This window comes from Homo sapiens, chromosome 8 (assembly GCF_000001405.40).
Source record: "Homo sapiens chromosome 8, GRCh38.p14 Primary Assembly".
In the NCBI taxonomy this organism is placed as follows: domain Eukaryota; kingdom Metazoa; phylum Chordata; class Mammalia; order Primates; family Hominidae; genus Homo; species Homo sapiens.
In genome coordinates, this window is record NC_000008.11 from 123,521,976 (window position 1) to 123,544,188 (window position 22,213).

The following is a 22,213-nucleotide window of genomic DNA, read 5'->3' on the forward strand; positions in this document are numbered from 1 at the left end:
AGTTTTGTTCTGACTTTGAGCTTGAACACTGACAGGTTGAAAGAGAAAAAAATTTCAGCGACATTAATAATCTGCAGGCATGTCAAGATTGGATAAATATTATTTGCAAGTGAAACAGCTCTCTTTTAACAGAGGGAGTTAAAATAATAAGGAGAGCCAAGTTTACATGCATTAATTGTATTCTCAGCAGAGAGAGACTTGCCTCTTCATCTTTTACCCATCCTGGTTACTTTTTTTTTTTTTTTTTTTTTTGAGATGGAGTCTCACTCTGCTGCCCAGGCTGGAGTGCAGTAGTGTGAGCTGGCTCACTGCAACCTCTGCCTTTTGGGTTCAAATGATTCTCCTGCCTCAGCCTTCTGAGTAGCTGGGACTACAAGTGCCTGCCACCATGTCCGGCTGATTTTTGTATTTTTAAGAGAGACGGTGTTTCACCATGTTGGCTAGGCTGGTCTCAAACTCCTCACCTCAAGTAATCCACCTGCCTCGGCCTCCCAAAGTATTGGGATTACAGGTGTGAGCCCCCACACCTGGCCCTGGTTACTTTTGAGTTGACAATGGCAGTTTATTCCCCATTACATCCATCTAACAGCGATGTCTGGCTTGGCGATCTTCCTTAAACTGAGCTCCCATCTATTCCAGCAACTGTCACCTCTGCCCTATGGTTCTATAGGCTGAATGTCACATCGCCATTGGCCCCTGACCCACAATCATTCCCCTTCACTTTTGTTCCTTCCCATTTCTAGGTTCTGCTTACATTGCTTGTCCCTGCAAAGCCTTCCACTTGCCTTTCCATCTGGCCAAATCCTGGCCGTCCCTCAAGGAAGGAGAATTTCAGGTTCTACCTCTTTCAAGAAGCCATCTCCAAGGCTCCTAGACTGTACTAATTCAACTTGCCATTTGAATAGTTATACTTTGTCCCCCAGAGTAGCCCAGAAGTACCTGACAAGCAGGGGCTAGGTCTGACACGATTCTCAAGTGGCTATGGCAACACTAGGTGCTTGGGCCCAAAATAGAAATACCCGTTCAGGGGCTCAAAAGCATTCATTTAAAGCAATTTGCCGCATGTGGAGACCTAGAAGGAGGATGCCATCAATTACCGCTCCTTGCCATCAGAGACCTCTTCCTGTAGTGGACTCATGAGGCCTTCAGATTCTGGGTCCCAGATACTCAGAGCACAGTATAAATACTCTTGGGAGCATCCCTCCTTGGATGAGAAAAGGTCTGTGGGACTGGCACTGAAAACCCAGCTCACCTGCCCAATTTGGCACATCCTAAGTTATGATAAGCCCCCAACAGAGCCTAGATGCTTAGGTAGAATTTTAATAGAAAACATTGACCAGGTGCGGTGGCTCATGCCTGTAATCTCAGCACTTTCGGAGGCCAAGACAGGTGGATTACAAGGTCAAGAGATAGAGACCATCCTGGCCAATATGGTGAAACCCTGTCTCTACTAAAAATACATAAATTAGCCGGGCATGGTGGCGGGCACCTGTAATCCCAGCTACTCAGGAGGCTGAGGCAGGAGAATCGCTTGAACCCAGGAGGCAGAGGTTGCAGTGAGCCAAGATCGCGGCACTGCACTCCAGCCTGGTGACAGGGTGAGACTCCGTCTCAAAACAAAACAAACAACAACAACAACAACAACAACAACAAACAAACAAAAAAAAGAAAGAAAACACTGCTGGGATGCTGGTGGTATAGGTTTAGATCCTGAGTCATTAAGAAAAAAAAATTATACAAAATGGGCACACTTTTGATCCAGCAGTCTCTGAAGTGGTACTGGAAAGAAAATCAGGTAGAAAAATAATAAAACAGAAATCTCAGTATTTTATATCATCTTTAATCTCTGATTTTGTGTATTTTCTAATGTCCACAATAAGGTCCCTAAAGTTGATGATGACAGTAACAGCAACAACCATTACACTCCTTGAATGTTACCACATACCAGGCGCGGTTCTACAGCATTTACCAGGTTGAAATTCAATTTCATTCTCACAGCAACACTGCAGGGTAGACATCATTACTGGCATCTTTTAGAGGTATATGAGTTATAAGTGAATTTATGAATATGCATAAATTGAGAGTGCATGCTTAAGTTATTTTATACTATTAGGAGTCTATGCTCTAGTCTTAGTCTTCCCCCATTTCCATGGGAACCCTAATTTCTGTGGGTACCCTCCTACTTCTTCAAATACCCTACTACATCTAGGGTGGTGTGGGCATCTCCCACTTTTTCAGGTGGCCTCCTTTTTCTGCACAGCCCCCTCCAATTCTGTGGCCATGTCCCCCCGTCTGTGAGTGTCCCCCACTTCCGTGGGCACCTAGACACCGCAGGATCTGCCTGTCTGAATGCTAATAATAATGACTAACAAGGCCAGAAATTCCAAGAGATACAGATTTCCTCCTGTGAAATCACTAACAGTTTAACCAGCCATTGAAGGGCCCACCCTGTACCCTCAAAGTTAATGACCCCAGTACCAAGATGTGGTAGAGGCAGTTGGCTATGAAGTTTCAGAAGGGTGGGGTCACAATCACTTCTGTGCATCATTTCTTTTCCTTTTTCTTTTTATCTTTTTTTGAGACAGAGTCTCCCTCTGTTACCCAGGTTGCAGGATGGTGGCACGATCTTGGCTCCCGGGTTCAAGTGATTCTCATGCCTCAGCCTCCAGAGTAGCTGGGACTATAGCAGTGTGCCATCAACCCAGCTAATTTTTGTATTTTTAGTAGAGACGGGGTTTCACCATCTTGACCAGGCTGTTCTCGAACTCCTGACCTCAGGCGATCCGCCTGCCGTGGCCTCCCAGAGTGCTCGGATTACAGGTGTGAGCCACCACGCCCGGCTCTGTGCATCATTTTCAAATGGGCCCGTGGCTCTGCTCTTTTGGCTTTATTGCTGCTGCAGTGGTTGGCCTTTTCTCCATCCCAGATAGCACCAGTTTAAAGCCCAGGTGGCCGAGGCCACCCTCCATCAGAGGAAGGCCACTGCATGTACAGCCTTAAGTGAATCCAAGGTCACTGTGGCAGAGGAACCTGTGTGAAGGGGCCAGGATGCTGATGCACATCAAGGCCCAGCAGGGGCTTGGCAACAGCATGCCCTTAATTTAAGGCATTGAATTTAAATTTGAGTCATCGTGCCATATTCCAGCCTTTTGTTTGCCAAACCACCAGTCAACTTAAACTAAAACATGTTTTTGGAAAATGCTTTCAGGGGTGGTAGGAATGCAGTAACTTGCTGGAAACATTCAAATGCACTTAGGGTGGTAACGCAGAAAAAAATAAGAATGTGCATCAGTTTAGGTTGTGATGCTCTGCTGCAGAGGGACAAAGAAACTGGGGTTGCAAGCTTTTATTTGTTCTTCTTGATCCACTAGCACATACGGGTCAGTTTACTCCAGTGAGAAAATTGGTACTCAAGTTCTCCGTGACCTTTCTGGGCTGTTAATGGTAGCTACAGTTACTGTAGACTTGGGCTTATTCTCATTCTACAGAGAGAGCTAGGAGTAATCAGATCAAAGGTCATTCTGGCATTAAGAACCTCTCCTGCGATATAGCCTGTGTGCATGTGTGCAAATATTTTAGTGGTGATAAAAGGCAGGCTCCATTTTGCATTTTGCCCTCTAAGCAATGCAGTCGAAAGGAGAGAACACTGGAGCAGGAGTCGGAGAACCAGGCTTAGGTCCTGCCTTTATTCCACGTCCCTTCCTGGGCAGGCAACTTTGTGCAAATCACCCAGTTCCCTGGCCTCTGCTTCCTCACCTCTAAAATGGGTTAACAACATCTGCCTACTGTACAGCTTGACTGTGCTTATCAAAGACGTAGATATACAAAGATGGAATTCGTAAACCACAAAGTAACAGATTTATAATTTGCTGGTTGATGGCATCTGGGGATGCCAGAGCCTGTTAGAAGTCATGACTTTCTGAAACACTGCTTGGCCAAGGTGCTGTTTCTTGTTTTTTTTCCAGTGGCTTCCTCCTGCGTACTAGATAATATAGCCTCACACTCAAAGCCTCTTCTCAAGTCTGTCCAATGTCCTTTTCTAGCCATATTTAAATGAACAATCATCCCTAGTGTTTATAAACTTCTTACTACACATGACTAACACTCATAAACTGCTTATCTCATTTAGTCCTCATCTTACCTAGGAGCAGGGTGCTATTGTCATCATTTCCATTTTACAGATGGGCGAGTGAGGCCTGACCAAGATCATAATAACCAGCTTGTGGCAACACCCTTCGATGATCTTTTTTTTTTTTTGAGACAGAGTTTCTAAAACAACAGCCTCTGTCACCCAGGCTGGAGTGCAGTGGCGCGATCTTGGCTCACTGCAACCTTTGCCTCCCGGGTTCAAGTGATTCTCCTGCCTCAGCGTCCCGAGTAGCTGGGATTAACAGGTGTGTGCCACCACACCTGGCTAATTTTTGTATTTTAAGTAGAGATGGGGTTTTACCATGTTGGACAGGCTGGTCTTGAGCTCCTGACCTCAAGTGAGCTGCCTGCCTCAGCCTCCCAAAGTGCTGGGATTACAGACGTGAGCCACCACACCCAGCCCATGATCCTATATTCTAAAGCACACTGTGCTACTTCTGTCCATACTTGAATGTTCTGCTCACTGATCTCTGAACAGACCTTACAGCTGCCTACCTCAAACCAGTTCCCCTAAGTTCTACTCCTACTCAAGACCAGTTCAAACCCCACATTTTCCTTGAAGTCTTTCTTGAATATCCTGCCCACAGTGATGCTACCCTTCTGAAACTTCATAGCCTATCTGCCTCTACCACATCTTGGTTCTTTTCAAATTCATTCTCATGGTGTCAGGGTAGGTAACTTCTTTTAATGCATACTTCTCAGGCTATCAGTCAGACTGTATGGCAGGGGGCAATAATTTTTTTTTTTCTGTAGAAATCCAGATAGTAAATACTCTAGGCTTGCAGGCTACAAGCTCTCTGTTGCTAACTCTGAACCCAACTCTGCCATTTTGCACAAAAACAGCCATAGACAATATCTAATGAGTGAGCGTAGCTGTGTTCCAATAAAACTTTATTTATGGATACTGAAATTTGAGCTGCACATAATTTCCATGTGTTATGAAACATTATACTCCTTTCAATTTTTTAAAACATTGAAAAACGTACAAATCATTCTTAGCTCATGGGCCATACAAAAACAGGCGGCAGGCTATTGACCTGAGGGCTAGAAGTTTGCTGACCCCTGCTGCAGACCTTCAAGGTAGAGTCAGATCTATTTCATCTATTTCCCTCACTGGCTAGTGGCAGGGCCTGGAGAAAATAATACAGGTTTTGGAGGAGTGTAAGTTTGAATTCAAGTTCAAGTTCTATATTACATTGTACTCAGCAATAACAGATACTAAATAACGGTTGCTTTCATGCCCTTTTAAAGTCATATTTTTTATTGGTACTGCTCAGTTTTTATCTTAATTCCATCTTATCCCAATAATGCAGTTTCTCAAGGGACTCACTAAGGACCAGGGGAACGGGGCAGTTGTTTGGGTAAATGTTGGTGTTTTCTGTCACTGAGCCTCACTGGGGAGAATATAAAGATTTTAAAAATGTACGACCATTCTAAGGACCTCAAAAGTTCCATTGCAAATAGGCTAATCTCTGTCCCCAACTGTATCTGGCCCATGAATTCAGTCTTCAAGTTTTAATCACCCTGGAAAGATGGTTGGATATGCTAAAATCCTACTTAACTTTCTGAAAAGTAAGTTACATTGCATTTTGAAATTTATATAACACTTTCACACCCACTGCCTTTATTTTTACATTTTATTTTTTCATTCTCATAAAAATGCTTCAATACAGGTATGGTTATCCTAGATTTACAGTTTAGAGAAGTAAAATGATTGATTTGCAGAAAGTACTACAAAAAAAGAAGCTTCGAACTTTGAGCTGGAATATAGGAGGGGCTGTCCTCTTTCCATCACTAAATTCCTGATGGACCACAGTACACGCCCCAGAAGTCGTATCTAGAGTTTAATGTCTCAGTGCACTTTGTTTAAAAATTCTCATTAATATGCAAAACATAATATCTGGGCTCCAAAGCAGTTTCTGAGCTGGTCTGTAAACTTGAAAACTGATTGGGATCACCAGGCAGATATTTTAAAAGTAGCAATGCCTGGGTACCACCTTCAACTAATTAAATCGGAAGCTCCAGAGGTGGGCTTCTGTAGTCTAACAAGCTTCGAAGGTGATTTGAATGTGCAGCCAGGACTGAGAACCACTGGGGTCACAGCAGGCTCACTGCAGAGCCATTACATGGGTGATGGTCTCCGAAACCTTCTCCTGGTTGACTTGATGCCCAAGACTCACTCGATCCTCTGACCTCTCTGTGGCCTGGTTAGTCAGCACTCACCTACTCATGGTTACAAACTTCCAGTCTGACTGGCTTGGCCTCTGGAATCCTTCCAGTTCCTCAAGGGAATTTCCAAAATGTGTTGGTCTTGAGGTATAGGGTAAACTATGTTTTAAATGTCCTTCCACAAGTAGGTAAGTTGCTGTTTCTAGAGATGTGAAATCTTTCAAACACATAGCTAGAACTGTCTTTATGTCATTGGGGCTGTGTAGGGGAGGGAGCAGGGCCAATGCATGTAGCTTGTAGCCAGTGAAAATGATGTAGAAATGTTATATAAACATCTTTCTAAGTTATAGTAAAAAATTTTCTGACTCTAAACATTCGTGAAATTTTCATGCTGAGTGATAAAAATGATAATATTTTGAGATAGCAGTGTTAGCCATCTCTTTTATTACCTCTGCATGTCTCTTTTTTGGAAGATGACAACCAGCATGAACATAACAGATTTTCAGAAAATGTATTTGGCTCTCAAGGCTTTGAATGTTTTTTTTGTTTTTGTTTTTTTCCCAAATGGCCCTTAAAATCAGTTTAGCTCCTTAGCAAAACCAGTAATCATTGTAGCATTTAAACAACATTAGGTCAAAGTAGTACGATGGGGATAATATACTGGCAAGCTACTTTGCAGAGTTGGTTTAAGGATAAGAATGTATGAGAAGTATACTGAGTTCCTAAGAAGGAAAACCTCAAAACACAGTGGCTATCATTAAAATGTTTTAAGTTCTTCATAAAAATAACATATTATTCCTCAAATTACAGAGGTCTCTAATAGTGATGGGGAAAAATTGTTCTTTGCAAAATAGAAATATTTTTCCACTATTTCTGAACCTAACAACTTTGAAAGCATTCAGCAGTTTCTCTAAGATTATTTAAAGCAAAGCGCTCATGATGTATTTTACAATTAGATACTCTTAGATACGTGTTCTCTGTGCTGAGTCTTAAGCAATTGCCAGATTCACCAATTAGTTTTTTAAAAGTAGAAAACATTTTAATCAACTCAACTGAAAAGCGTTTTAGGGGGAAATCAATAATTTTGGTAAGTGGGTAACAGTAAACATTAGCGGCTGACTTTGCACAGCAGATAGATTCTAGTGTCCAAAGTACTTCTGTTTATATCACTGAGTTTCCCCAGCTACCCCGGGAAGTTGAGGTAAGTCATTCTTACAGAGGAGGAAACCATGTCTTAGGGAGGTTGAGACAGTTTGAAATCAGTGGAGCTAGGACCTGCCCTCAGGCTATTTTACTTCAGCTCCTCTGCTCACAGATAACTCATGGTAGCAGTTAAAAGTGTAGACTCTGACTGCCCAGATTTCAAGTCTTGATTTCATCCCTCTGTGATCATGGACAAGTCATTTTATCTTACTGTACTGCCATTTGTTTAAAGAGAGATAATAAAAGCACCCATATTTTAAAGGGTTATTGAAAAGATAAAAGGTGAAAATGAACATATTGATGAAATAGATTTTCACTATCATGATGCTTGTTCCTTGCTTTATTTCTTGTAAAAGGAAAAGCAGGTAGAAAGGAAGACCATCTAAAAACTGACCATTTTGAAGATCAGTTTGTAATAAGACATCAGATCTAAGTGTCTTCCTCTAATACCTAGAAGATGGAAACTATTTGGATTCTTAGCAATGGAAGTTTCCAGATCATCCTGGGCCCATTTCCAACCAGCCTAGACTAGTCTGTGGGCCCTAGGAGGACTAGGTGACCTCCGTGAACTTGCAGAGTCACACTGAATGGCATGAACATTTCACCCAAGAAGGTCTCTTATTTTTATCCCTTTTGGATTGGAAGAAGAGCTTAGCCGAAGAGTGAATAGATCTGCTCATGTGGTCACAGGCTCAGCTCACAGCTCCTAACCTGCTTCTTGCAGGCCTGCGTTTTTATCAGGTCACTTTGGACAGCCAAGCCTGCATCTGCCCAGATGACAGGTGAAGGATCCAGGCCTCAAGGGGCCTTGAATGTCATCACCCTGGCTGAGCCTCTGCAATCATCTGACTCAGTGACATGGCACCGAGAAGCACAACAACCCAGGAAAAAGAAAATAAAAACCAAACCAACCACACCCACAGGGGGAAAATTCCCTCCTACTTCTAAGCCTAAAACCCAAACAGCTGCTACCTCCCAGGTTGACTGCTGACAAAAATACACAAGGGAGCTTTGGAGGGCAGGCAGGGAGAACAAAATAATAAACCAATTAGAAATAATAATGTGACAGTCATGGTTAAGCTGATTTGCTTTACTACCTTCATCATTAATATTTTGCTCATTAACTTTTTCTTTTTTGAGACAGAGTCTCGCACTGTCGCCCAGGCTGGAGTGCAATGGCGCCATCTCGCTCACTGCAACCTCCGCCTCCTGGATTCAAGCGATTCTCCTGCCTCAGCCTCCCGAGTAGCTGGGATTACAGGCGCCCACCACCACACCTGGATAATTTTTTTTTGTATTTTTAGTAGAGACGGGGTTTCACTATGTTGGCCAGGCTGGGCTCGAACTCCTGACCTCATGATCTGCTTGTCTTAGCCTCCCAAAGTGCTGGGATTACAGGCGTGAGCCAATGCACCCAGCCTTTTTTTTTTTTTCTCAAAATACGGTTTAAAATGGAAAGCAACAGATCCAGTCAGATTTTTTTTTTTTTTTTTTTTTTTTTACATGGAGTCTCACTCCTGTTGCCCAGGCTGGAGTGCAATGGCGCAATCTCAGCTCACTGCAATGTCTGCCTCCCGGGTTCAAGCGATTCTCCTGCCTCAGCCTCCCAAGTAGCTGGGATTACAGGCACCCGCCACCACGCCTGGCTAATTTTCTTGTATTTTTAGTAGAGACAGGATTTCATCATGTTGTCCAGGCTGGTCTCAAACTCCTGACCTCAGGTGATCCGCCCGCTTTGGCCTCCCAAAGTGCTGGGATTACAGGTGTGAGCCACCGCACCCGGCCAAAACAGGCAGTTTTAAGCTTTAGGTGGACATGGGACTGAATACTGTTATCACATGGGGGTGGAAGGGAACCACAGGCACAAAACACGGAGGTGCTTTAATTCATCCAGTTTTGTGGCCTCATCTGAGAATGCCTTGGGGGTCCCCCAGAGTCAGCTGAAGTAGGACAAGAGGGAGACAGTGAGAACAGTCAGAGATACAGGGTTTTGAAACAGTCCAAAGTGCTTTAGGGCTTGCTTCCTGCTGAATTCTCTCTTGCTAAGGCTGTTGCCAGGGCCAGCGTTGCCTGTGACATGTTCCCACGTATCCACAGGGTGGGCTCGGAAGGGGCCTGGTGTGAAATTTCACTTGAAGAGAATGGCTCTTTAACCGACTCACTGGGGTATTATGGCGGCCCCTGCCCATCCTGGCCAATCTCAGGGACATCCTAGTAGGACTCACTTAAGAACTTGAAGTACGTTGGGGAAGAAGGAGATTGAGGGGTCTGTTTTCTGCTTGCCTCAAAATTCTTAGGGTCCTAAAAAGTAATTTTTTGGGGAAACTACTTCAAGACAACCCAAAGAGATGATTCAACTTGGGAAAGAGCCTGGATGAGCCTTTAGGCACTTGAGACTTACCCGGACCACGTAGTTAAATCTTCTGGAATCCAGAATGGCAGTTGAGAAGTCCAGTCTGTTGAAAGCTTCCCCCAGGGTGCAATATCCATGGCGCTGAACATGAAAACAAAGGCACAGAAGTTACTCCTGCCATGCAGAGGTCACCCAAGTAAGAATGAGCCAGTTAGAACAACCCAACTGGATTTTGCCGAATGAGCTTGATGCCTGTCTTAGGTGACCTGGGGCACTGGCTTCTTTCCTGTACCCACAAGCCCTTGAGAGCCACCAAGATGGGTAACACAGCCAGCAGCTGCCTCAGTCAGCCCCTCACATGTCAAACACCCCCTTTTCGTGACTTGTACCATTTGGGACCTTGCTTATAATTTTTCCACATATTAGTCTGGAAAAATCATAAGTAATTGCTTATTAAGGAAAGACTGGGAGCAGGGTACGGGACATGGGAGGCCATGATGGTTGGTGACTGTAACGTACTCCTGGGAGGAGAATTAGACCTACCTGCACCAACTGTGTCACCACCTTGCCTTATACCAATAGTGCTTTTCTCACTGTGATCATCAGAAGTGTTTATAAGGTTTTGGGAGGAAGCAAAAGTTTTGATCTTTTAACCTATGAACACAGAGGGAATTGGGAGTATAAAGTCCCAGCTCTGCTCTGAGTATCTGGGTGGTCTTGGGAATATCAGTGACCCCCCTCTGGACCTCAAATCACAGAGGGGACTAGATGTTCACTGAGGTCCCTGACGGTCATAGAAATTCTTTCATATTGCCTGTATCCTAGTTATTTTAGCAAATGCCTGTGCAGAGAGAAAATATACATAAAAGGGCTTTATAAAGTACCATACAAATGTAGTTATTACAATGTCTTGTCCCCTCCCACATCACACTGAGCAGGCACTGAAAACTTCTACTATATTTAGTGATTAGCGCTTCCAGGACTGAAATTTAACTGAGTTGAAGTCCAAAGAGATCTTAGAACAAAAGGGAGACCTTGCCCTGAGGCAAAACCCAGGGCAATATAATAATATGGTTGAGATGGGCATGTCAATCTTTATAAAGCACTTTTACATACATAATCTCATTGAACGACTAGAGGGTCCACCTAGTGACTTTTGCTTCTTTCTCTCTCTGTTCTAAACTCTGATGGTTGGCTAAATAATAGACTAATAGCTGCCATCTCCCACATCCAAGAAGACTCTCATGATCCGAAGTAATTTCCCTCCCTACCATATCCCTCCCTGCGCTATCAGGAAGGGATAAGGTTCAGTATAACTTAGTAAATGAATGGGATGCTCACCTCTTTAGTACTTCCTTTGTGAACATAGATCCATTTTTCTTGGTGGAAATCTACAGAGACAAAAAGAATACACAGCTTTAACATCTGCAACATGCTCAAGATTTAAGACATTTCATTTCATTTATTCCAAAGTTTTAAAAGTTTTGACAAAAAAGATAAGGAGTCTACTGACAACTGAAGAAGTTTCAAGTGCTTAATTTCTGCAGTGTAGAAATACTGGGGCTATAAGTTGCTTTGTCTGAAGCACTCTAAATCTTTGAGAGCCAGATTTCATATACCAAAGCTCCAAACTACTATATTTTTTTTTCTAAAGCATTATGCCATAAGAAATTACAGGCCAGATGCAGTGGCTCATGCCTGAAATCCCAGCACTGTGGGAGGTTGAGGCAGGCGGATCACTAGAGGTCAGGAGTTCGAGACCAGCCTGGCCAACATGGTGAAACCCCGTCTCTTCTAAAAATTCAAAAATTAGCCAGGCGTGGTGGCAGGCACCTGTAATCCCAGCTACTTGGGAGGCTGAGGTAGGAGAATCACTTGAACCCGGGAGGCAGAGGTTGCAGTGAGCCAAGATTGTGCCACTGCACTCCAGCCTGGGCGACAGAGCGAGACTCCGTCCCCCCGCAAAAATGAAATTAGGCTTTGACAGACTGAGTTACATGCTGTGAACAGAGCGGGGTAGATCGCTTGAGCCCTGGAGTTTGAGACCAGCCTGGGCAACATGGCGAAACCCTGTCTCTACTAAAAACACAAAAATTAGCCGGGTATGGTGGCAGGTGCTTGTAATCCCAGCTACTCAGGAGGCTGAGGCACGAGAATCACTTAAACCCAAGAGGCGGAGGTTGCAGTGAGCTAAGATCATGCCACTGACTCCAGCCTGGGTGAGAGAGCAAGACTCTGTCTCAAAAAACAAAAACAAACAAACAAAAAACACCAAAAAAAAAAAAAACACCCCTAATACTCAAGTACAAGTTTATTTTAAATGCCAAACCTGAAACTTACATAAGTCCATGAAAATCAAACAGATAACATGAGGAAAACATGCATTACAGATAAAATAACCTGTAATTCCTGCTATTAATACCACTTTATATTCTCTGCTGATACTTATATATAGTATCTAGAAATGTTAATAAGATTTATACAAGGAAAGAGGGAGAAAAATCTGTTTTCAAAGCCTCAAAACAGTTCAAAATAAAAGTACATACTGGAACTGATTCAGCTGACCACATCACTGTAAAATAACCTATGTCAAATACGAATGACTAGCAGGAAAAAAAGGCCCTCAACTAGCAACTGACTTACAAACAAGACTATAAAGAACATGTTAATCTTGCTTGTAAAATGCACAGCCAGGTTTCTGAGTGCTGAGATCTCAGTAACCTCTGTCAGTGACACACAGTAAAACACTGAGGCAGATGTGTGACATGGGAGGTGTTATTTTTTTTCATCCAAGAACCAATCATAACTATCTTCAAACAGCTTTTTTCTGAAGTTCAAAACAAATGGCTTACACTGAGTTTTGGTTTTGCTATTCAGCATGTCCTTCTTTCTCTTCTTGGCTGCAACATCATAGTTCAGGCTGTTGAAAAGATTCTCCTTATTGTATACCTCCTTGTTGCAGTAACTATGAATAACAGAAGACAAAGAGGATGAGCTGTAACAGCTATACATGAACCTGAGCTGTTTCTATAAATAACTCACTGAGTTATAAGACAAACAAACATACAGGCTTCTCAAACAAAATAAAACAATAAAATGATCACTCAAAGAAAAAAGAGTCTATACAGTCACAGGCTTCTCCTTTAGGATGAAACATGTTCACATCTGTGGGGAAGGCAGGGATGGGAGCTTCTACTTCTTTTGAATTCCCTAACAGTGCCTTGCATTGTAATTTGACACACAGCACTGTACTCTTCAACTAAGAGCAATGCAGAGTATTACCATATTACTTTAAACAAAAATGACGAATGGGGGGAGGGGTGATTACTGGTATCGCTGTACTACACAATGCCTTCATTTTGCAAAAGTATCTACCCCAAGCTGCTGCTGCTTCTTTAGAAAAAAAAAAAGTTTCATTGAGATAAACTTCACATACCATACAATTCATCCATTTAAAGTATACTTAAGCTGCTTTTAAGTAGCATCCTTCTAACATGTCTTTAAAACACAATCACGTTTACAAAAATCTGACTTATAAACTCCATTTCTAGGAGATGCTTTGGGTGTAGTGCCAGTTGCTTAGGTTTTATGTAGTGCCTTGACTAAAACACACTAGGCATCATGCTGTGAGGTGAAGACCTTGGGTCTTGACTATACAAGGTAAACTTATAATTGATAAATTTATAAGGGCTGAACAGACATTGGATGTACCTGCCTAATTCACAGGTCACTGAAGGATGGGCAGGCTCATCTCGGGCCAGACGCTTATTTGCCTCAGTGGGCTGAGCAATCATTTGAGGGGTAATGAACTATTCTACTATACAATGTAACTTCAAAGTAAATCTCTGAATAATTTCCACAGAAGGAATGCAGGAGAAATACTGAGGTATGATAAGATAGGTTCCCTAACTCCCTCAACCCCCACAAAGTATGTAAAACAGGATTTATAATGCCAACTGGTAAAACATAAATTAGGGGTTTTTTTTTTTTTGCTATACCACCGATATTTTATACTCCTTTAATGTTCTGAGTTTCTCTGCTGAATTTAAAATGTAACTTGATTTACATCTTTTTCAGATATACATCTGTTGGGTACAATTATGTACATCTGCACTTCTCTATTTCCTTGGCATTGTGTAAATGGTAGAAGAGAAAAGATTTGAAGCAACTTCTAGTATCTTTTTGTTATTAATACAATAGTCTCTCAAGTAGCACTTCGGTTAGTATAAGTATCTTGCTAATATGCTTACATGTGACATCTCCAACAATATACTCAGTGTTGCTTTTCTGGACCCTTAAGGACAAACATGATAAATAATCATTTGTTAATCTTCCTTCATAAGGCCGTGCTTAATACCATTTATTGAGTTTCCTACTAAACTCAATAGCTTTCTCCTTTTCATTCAGGGAAACAGGATATTTTTAGGTTTCAGATAGAGTCCTGCAGAAATGTCCTCTCAGAGGCACCTTCAAAAGCAAGCCAAGGATGAGTATTTTGGGCCAGGCTTTGTACAACACATGAGTGTGTTTCTGTCTATTTGCATGACTATAGGGGTACAGAATCACTGACCAGCTGATTATCTGCTCCAAGGTCAGAAGGAAAAGAGGGACAGAACAAAGAACAGAACTGAATTCCTGAGGCTAACTTAAGACATTTCAATCAACGTTGAGAAAAACAGCAAACGATGGAAGGTCATTTGAGTGGTCCATGATGTACCACAGCTGAGAACAGCTTTAGAAAGCAAAGCTAGAACATTTTGTGTGCAAAAATACCACATGAAGGCTTACTTAGAAAGAACACACACAACCCCCACAAACAACAAAAACCTACAGTATAAATTCCACATGTAGAGAATCATAAAATGAGGTTGTCTTATTCTCAACATTTAAGGTTCAGTAGCAGATTTTCTGAGCCTGGGCCATAGATTGTGATCATTACTTAGCAAGTTCAAATATTTAGATTTCATCTTACTCTTTTCCAATTGAAAACGTTCTTTAAAGGAATTGGAGCACTCACTTTCCTCAGAAGCTACAATAACCTGCTTTAAGCCTGAGTGACTCATTTCAAAAGCTAGTTTAGAAAGAATTTTACATAATTGATGATGTTCTCTCACCGTAGAATGTAGAAAAGTTTTAACCAAAGAGAAACCCTATATTTTCACTTGGTATTAGGTTTTAGATTCCGGAGGAAGGGCCTGGAAAGAAGGGCTATGGGGTTTATTTGTGTTGCCTACTTATAAGTTTTCTTTTAAGCAATAATATATTCAGTTAGAGGCTATTTTGAGAGTTCAATCGTGTCCTTTTCAAGAAAATGCAAAGCCAATGGAAAATTACAACTGAAATTTTTAACAAGAAAAACCACCACCATTTAGGAATTGGAGCACAGGATTTTTTTTTTTTTAATAAGCAAAACCATCTCAACGAGGCTGCTTTCTTCACTAAATTCAATAATAGCCAGCAAGTCGCTATTTTGTAGTCACTATTTACTAATCTTGATTTTTATAGGCACAGGCCTAGAATAAGAAAAAGATCCACTGCACAGCCCCACATTACCACATACCAAGATACTTTAAGGCAACTTTTTAAAAATGTAGAAAAAATTCAAAATCAGACCATAAATAAGTCTGTTTTGGCAGCAGATAAAGAAGGGAATGAAAAAAAAAATAAAGCCCTATTTCTCATTTCATTTGCAATAAAAACCATTTAAGAAAGCTGTGACGTGCCCCCAGAGGTTTAATTGTAGTTATATAGCCTGATTAAAGCCAGTAGAGATTTCTACACCAATTTACTGACGCATTTCTAGATCGCCACACTCACAAGGCTAGCACCCGGAATGCTCTGGTGAAACAAACAGCCTAGTGTATAACGCTCATAGAACAGTGCCTTGCACACAGTAAGCACTCATAAAATCTTAACTATTATTTTTATCCAGTCACCAAGGTAAACTTCCTGCTTCCGGGTCCAGCCTCAGCCATACAGTAAAGTAACATTTGAGTCAGTCTTCAATGACAGAAGTGTAGGCTTAGAAAAGAGTGGCAGAGGCTCAGACAGCTTAGGTTACTCATCCTGGGGGTGGGCGGTGAGGGGGTGGTTGCTGAGGAAGGCTGTGCGGGTGCCTGAACCACCACTTCCTTGAAGCATTCTTGGATCATCCCAATTCACGCCAAGCTCTTTCCTTGCATTTTAAATCTGCCCCAGCATATTTAACACTTGCCATTCCCCTTCTATTTTATATAATTTCAACATTTTTGAGAAGGGGTCCTGCTTTAAGCTTATCTTAAATCCTCCCATGATCTCACTCCTGGACACATGGCTGGGACTGGATTTGTAACATTCTACACTGGAGAAGGTTGGAGTCCTAGACCACAGAGAAGATGGCCAGCTGAGTCCAGAATAGGTGTGCTGTGTGGACAAGACTTGGTCAACACGAAACAATAACCCCAGGCTGAAAACCACCAAATGCATCCTTCATCCCGGGCTCTTGTTTGGGCCGTTTGCAGAATGGTCTGTGGAATTAGAGAAGTCAGTCTACCATGTCTCTGTAGTTCTCTGTTTCACGGTCCCTCCCCGCTTAAGGGCCTGCCTTTTGTTTTCTCATAACAGGAGAGGCATTCAGCTTCACCTGTGCAGGCAGGCACGCAGTCCAAACCTGACATCACGGGGAAACATCACCAAGACCAAAAACAGTGAGGATATTTGAGATGACAAACCCAGACCACAGAAGGCCAACTGCTTTTAAGAAGTTGCAGGCTTCTCATGCTAAGCAGGGAAGGGATTGTTTACAGTTGCTGGAAAAAAAAATACCCTGCAAACAAACAGCCAGCTGCTTTGCTAGGAGGCTACCAAATGATTCCTAAACGCTGACTCAAAGGACCACAGGTGGTCAGTATATCAATGACTATTTGCGGTAATGATGATGGATGTGACAGCTCCAGCTCAGGTGTGAAATGGGAAGAAAAAGAGGCTCATGAACAGGACACGGGAGGGGGGCTGTGCAGGAAACCACCTGATTCCAGCCCAGTCTAAACTTTTGTGGTAAGTTAAGACCATCTTCAGGTCTTCCATACTGTGAAGACAGAGATACCACTATTTCTAAAGGAGAGTGACACCAGTTTCTCTCCTGATGCCGGTATAGGGTATTTTAAAACAAATTTTAAATTTTTATTTATTTTTAGAGACAGGGTCTCGCTCTGTGGCCCAGGCTGGAGCGCAGTGGCACAGTCATGACTCGCTGCAGCCTTGAACTTCTGAGCACAAGCCATCCTCCCACCTCAGCCTCCCGAGTAGGGTAAGTATTAATACGACCCTACATTTTAAATCTTCTGCTGAACTCAATCATCTGTTCTCCACTGAGGAGCATCCTGCAATTATATTTGGGTGAGCAGCTCTAACATGACTCTTCAGACCCTTTCGGCACTTTTCTAGAAAGAACCTGAACTTGTATACAGAAATAAAGTACCAACATATTAGATCATTGTCCTTAGGAACAAGGAGGAAGGAAGGAAGGTTCCCATTTTGTTGAGGGAGAATAATTTAGGCATAATTGGTAACTCCAGTCGATAAAAGACATAGTCTGTCAATAGCAGTTGGTCTTACTTTCCCGTAAATAAATTACTTGATTTTACGTAAATAAGATTTCCTTATGGTGGTCCCTAAACTCCCCTGGGACAGCCTCCAAGTAACTCCAACGTAAATGGTTATATGCTGGTGGTTAATACGCTCAAGTCTCTCCGGACAGACCCCCAGAATTAAATAATGTCTTTCTTTACATTGTGAGACAATGGGAATTTGATGCATTACAAATCACAAACAAATGGGAGGCACGGGAGTTCAAGTTGCCAAAATAACCACATTTTCTTGATAGTTTTCTCAAAATTTATTGCCAATGCTTCATCCAAGCAACGACTGGTAAATCTCAGTAAGCGGGAACCTGGCCCAGAAACAGAATTCTCCATTGAAGTCAATTTAAGGGTGCAGGGGCCCATGGTTTTAACCAAAGGTGGCAGGAAAAGGCTCCCAAGGGTGACTCTGGCTGCACCAGTCCATTCTGGAATCACTTTCATCGCCCCCGCTCACCGGGCTAAATGCTGAGAGTCTCTGAAAGTCAACTGTCGAGGTCAGGGGCTGAGAAATTCCAGGCTACCTTGCGTACTAGCCGGCGCTGGCATCGTTAGCCAAGCTGAGCAGGGAGCGCAGCGGACCTCAGGTTTCCCGCCAGACCACAGAGCTCAGGTGAGGCCTCGAATCCAGAGGCTCACCGGGGCCAGGCAGGCTTTTCGCAGCTGACAGGCACCCCTGGAAACGGAGTGCACTCTATACAAAGCAGACCGACCGAGAGGGCCACCGAGGAAACAGGTGCAAGAGCCCTGTCCTCCCAGAAGCAGAGCTCTTGTGGGATTCATCCCCTGCCCCCTTCCCTCCTTTGCACCTCTGCAGCCCCAAGCCTCCACCGCTCGCAAGTCCGCCCAGTAAGCGGCTGCCCCAGGGACCATCTGGCCGTCCCTTCCTGGTTACTCATCCTCCCGGCCACTTCGTGGTTGCCCGTGCCTGGGCAGGGCCTGGAAGCGCTCCAGGCGGGACCTTCGTCGGATCCCGTCACCTGTCGCGTCCACAGCGCTTGGGCGCTGGGAGCCGGGCCACCCCGCGGTGAAGGGGCTCAGCCCACCCGCCCGCGCCCCCACATGGGCAAAGTGCGCGACTCCGGTGTCCTTAAAGCAGGGACCACTAAAGCTGTGTGATTAAGTTTGAGCGAACGTTTGGGGACACGATCCGCGAATGTCATCAGACTCTCAGAGGGACCAGGTGTTCTGTAAGGAGTCGTGTCCACTTGGAGACACTGACCTTGAACAATAAGAGAAACCGAATTCCCTGTCTCCGGTGGTCCGAAGACCTCTGCAGAAATCGGGCCCCGTAGTCCCACCCTCCGGGTCAGGGTCTCCCTCCTCAGCCCGCTCCAGCCCTGCCTGCCCCTCATTCGCCGTCCCTGCGCCCCCCAGACCAGCCCGGGTCAGTTTCGCGGGGGCTGGAAGTTGGTAGCGGGTCCCCTCACCTGCTGAGGTCGCTCACGAAACTGCCGCTCTTCTCATCCAGGAAGCGCTTCCAGCCGTCGGCCGTCTTCACCCAGTTCTGCCCGGGGGACCGCCAGTCCTGCCCGAGGAATGGCATGGCACCGCGAGCGGACTAGACGGATGGGGAGACGGGGCCGGCCTGGTGGGCTCGGGGACGTGCCACCCGGGGCGGATGCTCGGGGTGCAGGGGCCCGCGACGGGGGCGGCGGGGCGGCGGGAACGGCGCGGGGCACCCTGCGGGGTGGCGGGCGCGGAGAGGATCTCAAGCGTTGCAGGCTCCGGGAGTGCTGCGCGGCAGTAGCTGCCGCAGTATTTATCCCCGCAGCCGGCCGCAGCTCTTTGTTGCCGGAAGAGCCGCCCGCTCTTAGCCCGGCCCCCCGGCCCGGAGGCCACGTGGCTTTGTTTATGGGCTCGGCTTGTTTTCCGAGGCGCCTGCGGCTCACGCTCCCCTCCCGGTTGCACAACCGCGCCGGTGGAAACTTGAAGCGGTGCTGCCGGGCCGGGTACCCCGCCGCCCCTGGCACCTCCGCGCGCCCTCCCCGCCCCCAGGACACCGTTGTCCCAGAGCGAGGCCCGGCGCTTGGAAAGATGCGCCCCGGTCTCCTGCAGCTCCCGGGCTGACGGGGTGCAGGGAGGGGGCCGGAGGGGCGTCTGGGTCCCTGCGGGGTGGGCGTGAGGAGCAGGGCCAGCCCCCCTCCTGCCCCCGAGCTATCAGGATCGACCTCCGCAGCCAGATCAGCCTCCCGGGCCGTCCGCAGAGCTGGGGCCGGCACCGCGCCCGCCGGGCGGGGAGTAGGGGGCGCAGCCTCCTGACCTCGCTCACTGCCCCAACCCCGCCCTAGCGCGCGGGGGTTGGAGCGGGGAGGAGGGACAGCCTCCCAGCCCTCCGGGCCCCTTAGCTGTCACTAACCAGTCCTCCTTCAGACCTGCCCCTGGGGCAGCAAAGGAGGGGAAGGAGAGGAAGCCCTGGGAGGTATCTGGCTCCCGCAGGTTGGGAGTGGAGAAAAAGAACAGCGCCCCTATCCTACCCGAACCCTCTAAGAGACGGGTTAAATGATGTACCCAGGGCCAATGCTACAGTACAATCTGAAACTACCCTGTTTGCTTTTACTTTTTGCTGTTGTTACAACAATCTACCCCTGTCTGCAGTGGGAACTCCATGAGAGCTGGTCTGTCTTGTTCCGGAGGCATTTCAGCCCCTGCACCCTGCCAGGCCCAGTGCAGGCCTTCAACAACTATTTGTGTGAATAAGTGAATGGATACGGGAGGCTGCTGGCATGAGGGTGGCTTCTTGCCCTTCATCACCTCTAGTTATGATGCTTTACAGCCTGGTCTATTTGGCAATTAGTTTGCACAGGACAGCAGCAGCAGAGTAAAAATCCCATACTCAAGCATTAGCTTCAAACTTCATTCTTCCATTCTTCTTTCTCTGCAGCCATCAATATCATCTAGTCCACTGACTCGGTGTAATCTTTAAGGCTCAGGCAAAGAAATTGTGTGTGCCCTATGAGGCTACATGTTGGACTGGGAAGACGTTTTTAATAAAGTTTGTTTTCAAGAAGCCAGAGCTTTCTGATTTAGATTTCCCACCGTAAATAATTTATTAGTGTAGTAATAGTAAAAAAAAAGCTTGTAAAAACATTGAAGAAGTCCCAAACAAATGTTAAACACTGTGATGGTGCTAACAAATGAGGCAGTGTTGGGTCTGGTCTCTGTTGGAGGGAATTGGTATCTGCATAATTAAGGGATGTGATTATTATTATTATTATTTTTGAGACAGGGTCTCATTGTGTCACTCAGGCTAGAGTGAGTGATCATGGCTCACTGTAGCCTCAGCCTCCCCAGCTCAAGCCATCCTCCCACCTCGGCCCCAGTCTCCAGTAGCTGAGACTACAGGCACTCACCACTGCACCAGGCTAATTTTTTATATTTTTTGTAGAGATAGGGTTTTGCTATCTTGCCCAGGCTAGTCTTAAACTCCTGGGCTCAAGTGATCCTCCTTCCTTGGCCTCCCAAAGTGTTGGGATTACAGGCGTGAGCCACCATGCCCGCCTGGGATGTGATTATGAACAATGTGGGTTAGTTATGTATTAGTAAGCTGGCTACATACCTGTAGAGACCACAGAGGGCCAGAAGGTAGAAGTTTTGAATTCTAATTCTGCTGGAGCAGCATACTACCTGTCCTCCCTTGGATGAATGACTTAAACTCTTAGGGCCCCATTTACTTAACTGTCAAGAAAAAATGGAGCCAATAATGCCTACCTTTCAGGATGGTTTAAAAGCTGTGGTAGATTGAATTATTAGTACCCATTCTTCCCTCCTTTCCAGTAGCGTCATGTGCCCACACTTTTTGGTGATGTGTATTTTTCTAATTCTTGACAATGGGCTTGGCCATATGACTGGCTTTAGCCAAGGGGATGCTGATGGATGTGATGTGAGCAGAGGATCTGATGTATGTACTTGCCTGGTTGGTCTTGATGTTTTGTGTGTTCACCTGCTCCATGAAAAGAGCATACCCTGTGTAGCCACTGCTCCTGGAGTGGTTTGAGTGACATCCGTGTGTCCCAGGATGTGACACATGGAGCAGACACTCCCGTTGACCTCACAGATGTGTTAGCAAGAAATAAATGTGTCTTGTTGATGCCACTGAGATTTTTGTGATTTACTGTTACACAGCATTATTGTGTCGATAGCTGACTACTATAAAGGGTTGAGTGGCTCAAAGTTGGTGAAAGTTTCTTTAACTTCTAAAATTCAAGCACAAATAGGAAATTACAATTATTTTTGTCCTTGTCTTTTTGTCTAATAACTAATCTTAGGAAGCCTCAGTGTTTGTCTCTAGTCCTTCCGCTTTCTGTTCCTTAAAACAAACAAACAGAATTGTTGCTATCATATCTTAATGCAGGCTTCTTCTGAAGTGTGATTGACTATTTCAGATTTCTCTTACCATAAAAAAATCTAATTTGAGACTTCTTTTTTTTTTTTGAAACAGAGTCTTGCTCTATCACCCAGGCTAGAGTGTACCGGTGCAATCATGGCTCACTGCAGCCTTGAACTCTTGAGCTCAAGTGATTCTCCTGCCTCAGCCTCCTGAGCAGCTAAGACAACAGGCGTGCACCACCATGCCTGGTTGATTAAAACATTTTTTTTTTGGAGAGATGGGGTCTTGCTATGTTGCTCGGGCTGGTCTCAAACTCTGGCCTCAAGTGATCCTCCCGCCTTGGCCTCCCAAACTACTAGGAGTACAGGCATGAGCCACCATGCTCAGCTG

The 22,213-nt window shown here is 44.8% G+C and overlaps 1 protein-coding gene across 3 annotated transcripts in view, besides 6 other annotated features; it reads right to left on the reverse strand.

Annotated features, from left to right (window-relative positions):
• FBXO32 (F-box protein 32) overlaps positions 1–19,231 on the reverse strand; it is a 43,318-nt gene extending 24,087 nt beyond the window's left edge. For 2 of the 3 annotated variants that reach the window (NM_001242463.2, NM_058229.4), the window contains exons 1-4: positions 18,924–19,231; positions 12,727–12,839; positions 11,216–11,265; positions 9,923–10,015 (exon numbers count right to left, since the gene is read on the reverse strand). In NM_001242463.2, the coding sequence (NP_001229392.1) occupies positions 9,923–10,015; positions 11,216–11,265; positions 12,727–12,839; positions 18,924–19,039 (372 nt within the window). In that variant the 5' untranslated portion in view covers positions 19,040–19,231. Of the gene's footprint in view, positions 1–9,922; positions 10,169–11,215; positions 11,266–12,726; positions 12,840–18,923 lie in introns of those variants that run through there. The other variant, NM_148177.3, reaches the window with a different exon arrangement.
• Positions 5,759–6,958: an enhancer, noted in NCBI's record as "BRD4-independent group 4 enhancer chr8:124539974-124541173 (GRCh37/hg19 assembly coordinates)". NCBI's record gives its function as "activates an origin of replication core promoter dependent on BRD2, P300/CBP, MED14 and CDK7 cofactors, and independent of BRD4, by STARR-seq in HCT116 cells {active_cell/tissue: HCT116}" and the evidence as "EXISTENCE:reporter gene assay evidence [ECO:0000049][PMID:35650434]".
• Positions 7,500–7,700: a silencer, noted in NCBI's record as "peak7157 fragment used in MPRA reporter construct". NCBI's record gives its function as "represses an SCP1 promoter by STARR-seq MPRAs in K562 erythroleukemia cells {active_cell/tissue: K562}" and the evidence as "EXISTENCE:reporter gene assay evidence [ECO:0000049][PMID:32103011]".
• Positions 8,341–8,550: an enhancer, noted in NCBI's record as "active region_27875". NCBI's record gives its function as "activates an Ori minimal core promoter by ATAC-STARR-seq in GM12878 lymphoblastoid cells {active_cell/tissue: GM12878}" and the evidence as "EXISTENCE:reporter gene assay evidence [ECO:0000049][PMID:35858748]".
• Positions 19,128–19,217: a silencer, noted in NCBI's record as "silent region_19502". NCBI's record gives its function as "represses an Ori minimal core promoter by ATAC-STARR-seq in GM12878 lymphoblastoid cells {active_cell/tissue: GM12878}" and the evidence as "EXISTENCE:reporter gene assay evidence [ECO:0000049][PMID:35858748]".
• Positions 19,268–19,377: a silencer, noted in NCBI's record as "silent region_19503". NCBI's record gives its function as "represses an Ori minimal core promoter by ATAC-STARR-seq in GM12878 lymphoblastoid cells {active_cell/tissue: GM12878}" and the evidence as "EXISTENCE:reporter gene assay evidence [ECO:0000049][PMID:35858748]".
• Positions 19,468–19,757: a silencer, noted in NCBI's record as "silent region_19504". NCBI's record gives its function as "represses an Ori minimal core promoter by ATAC-STARR-seq in GM12878 lymphoblastoid cells {active_cell/tissue: GM12878}" and the evidence as "EXISTENCE:reporter gene assay evidence [ECO:0000049][PMID:35858748]".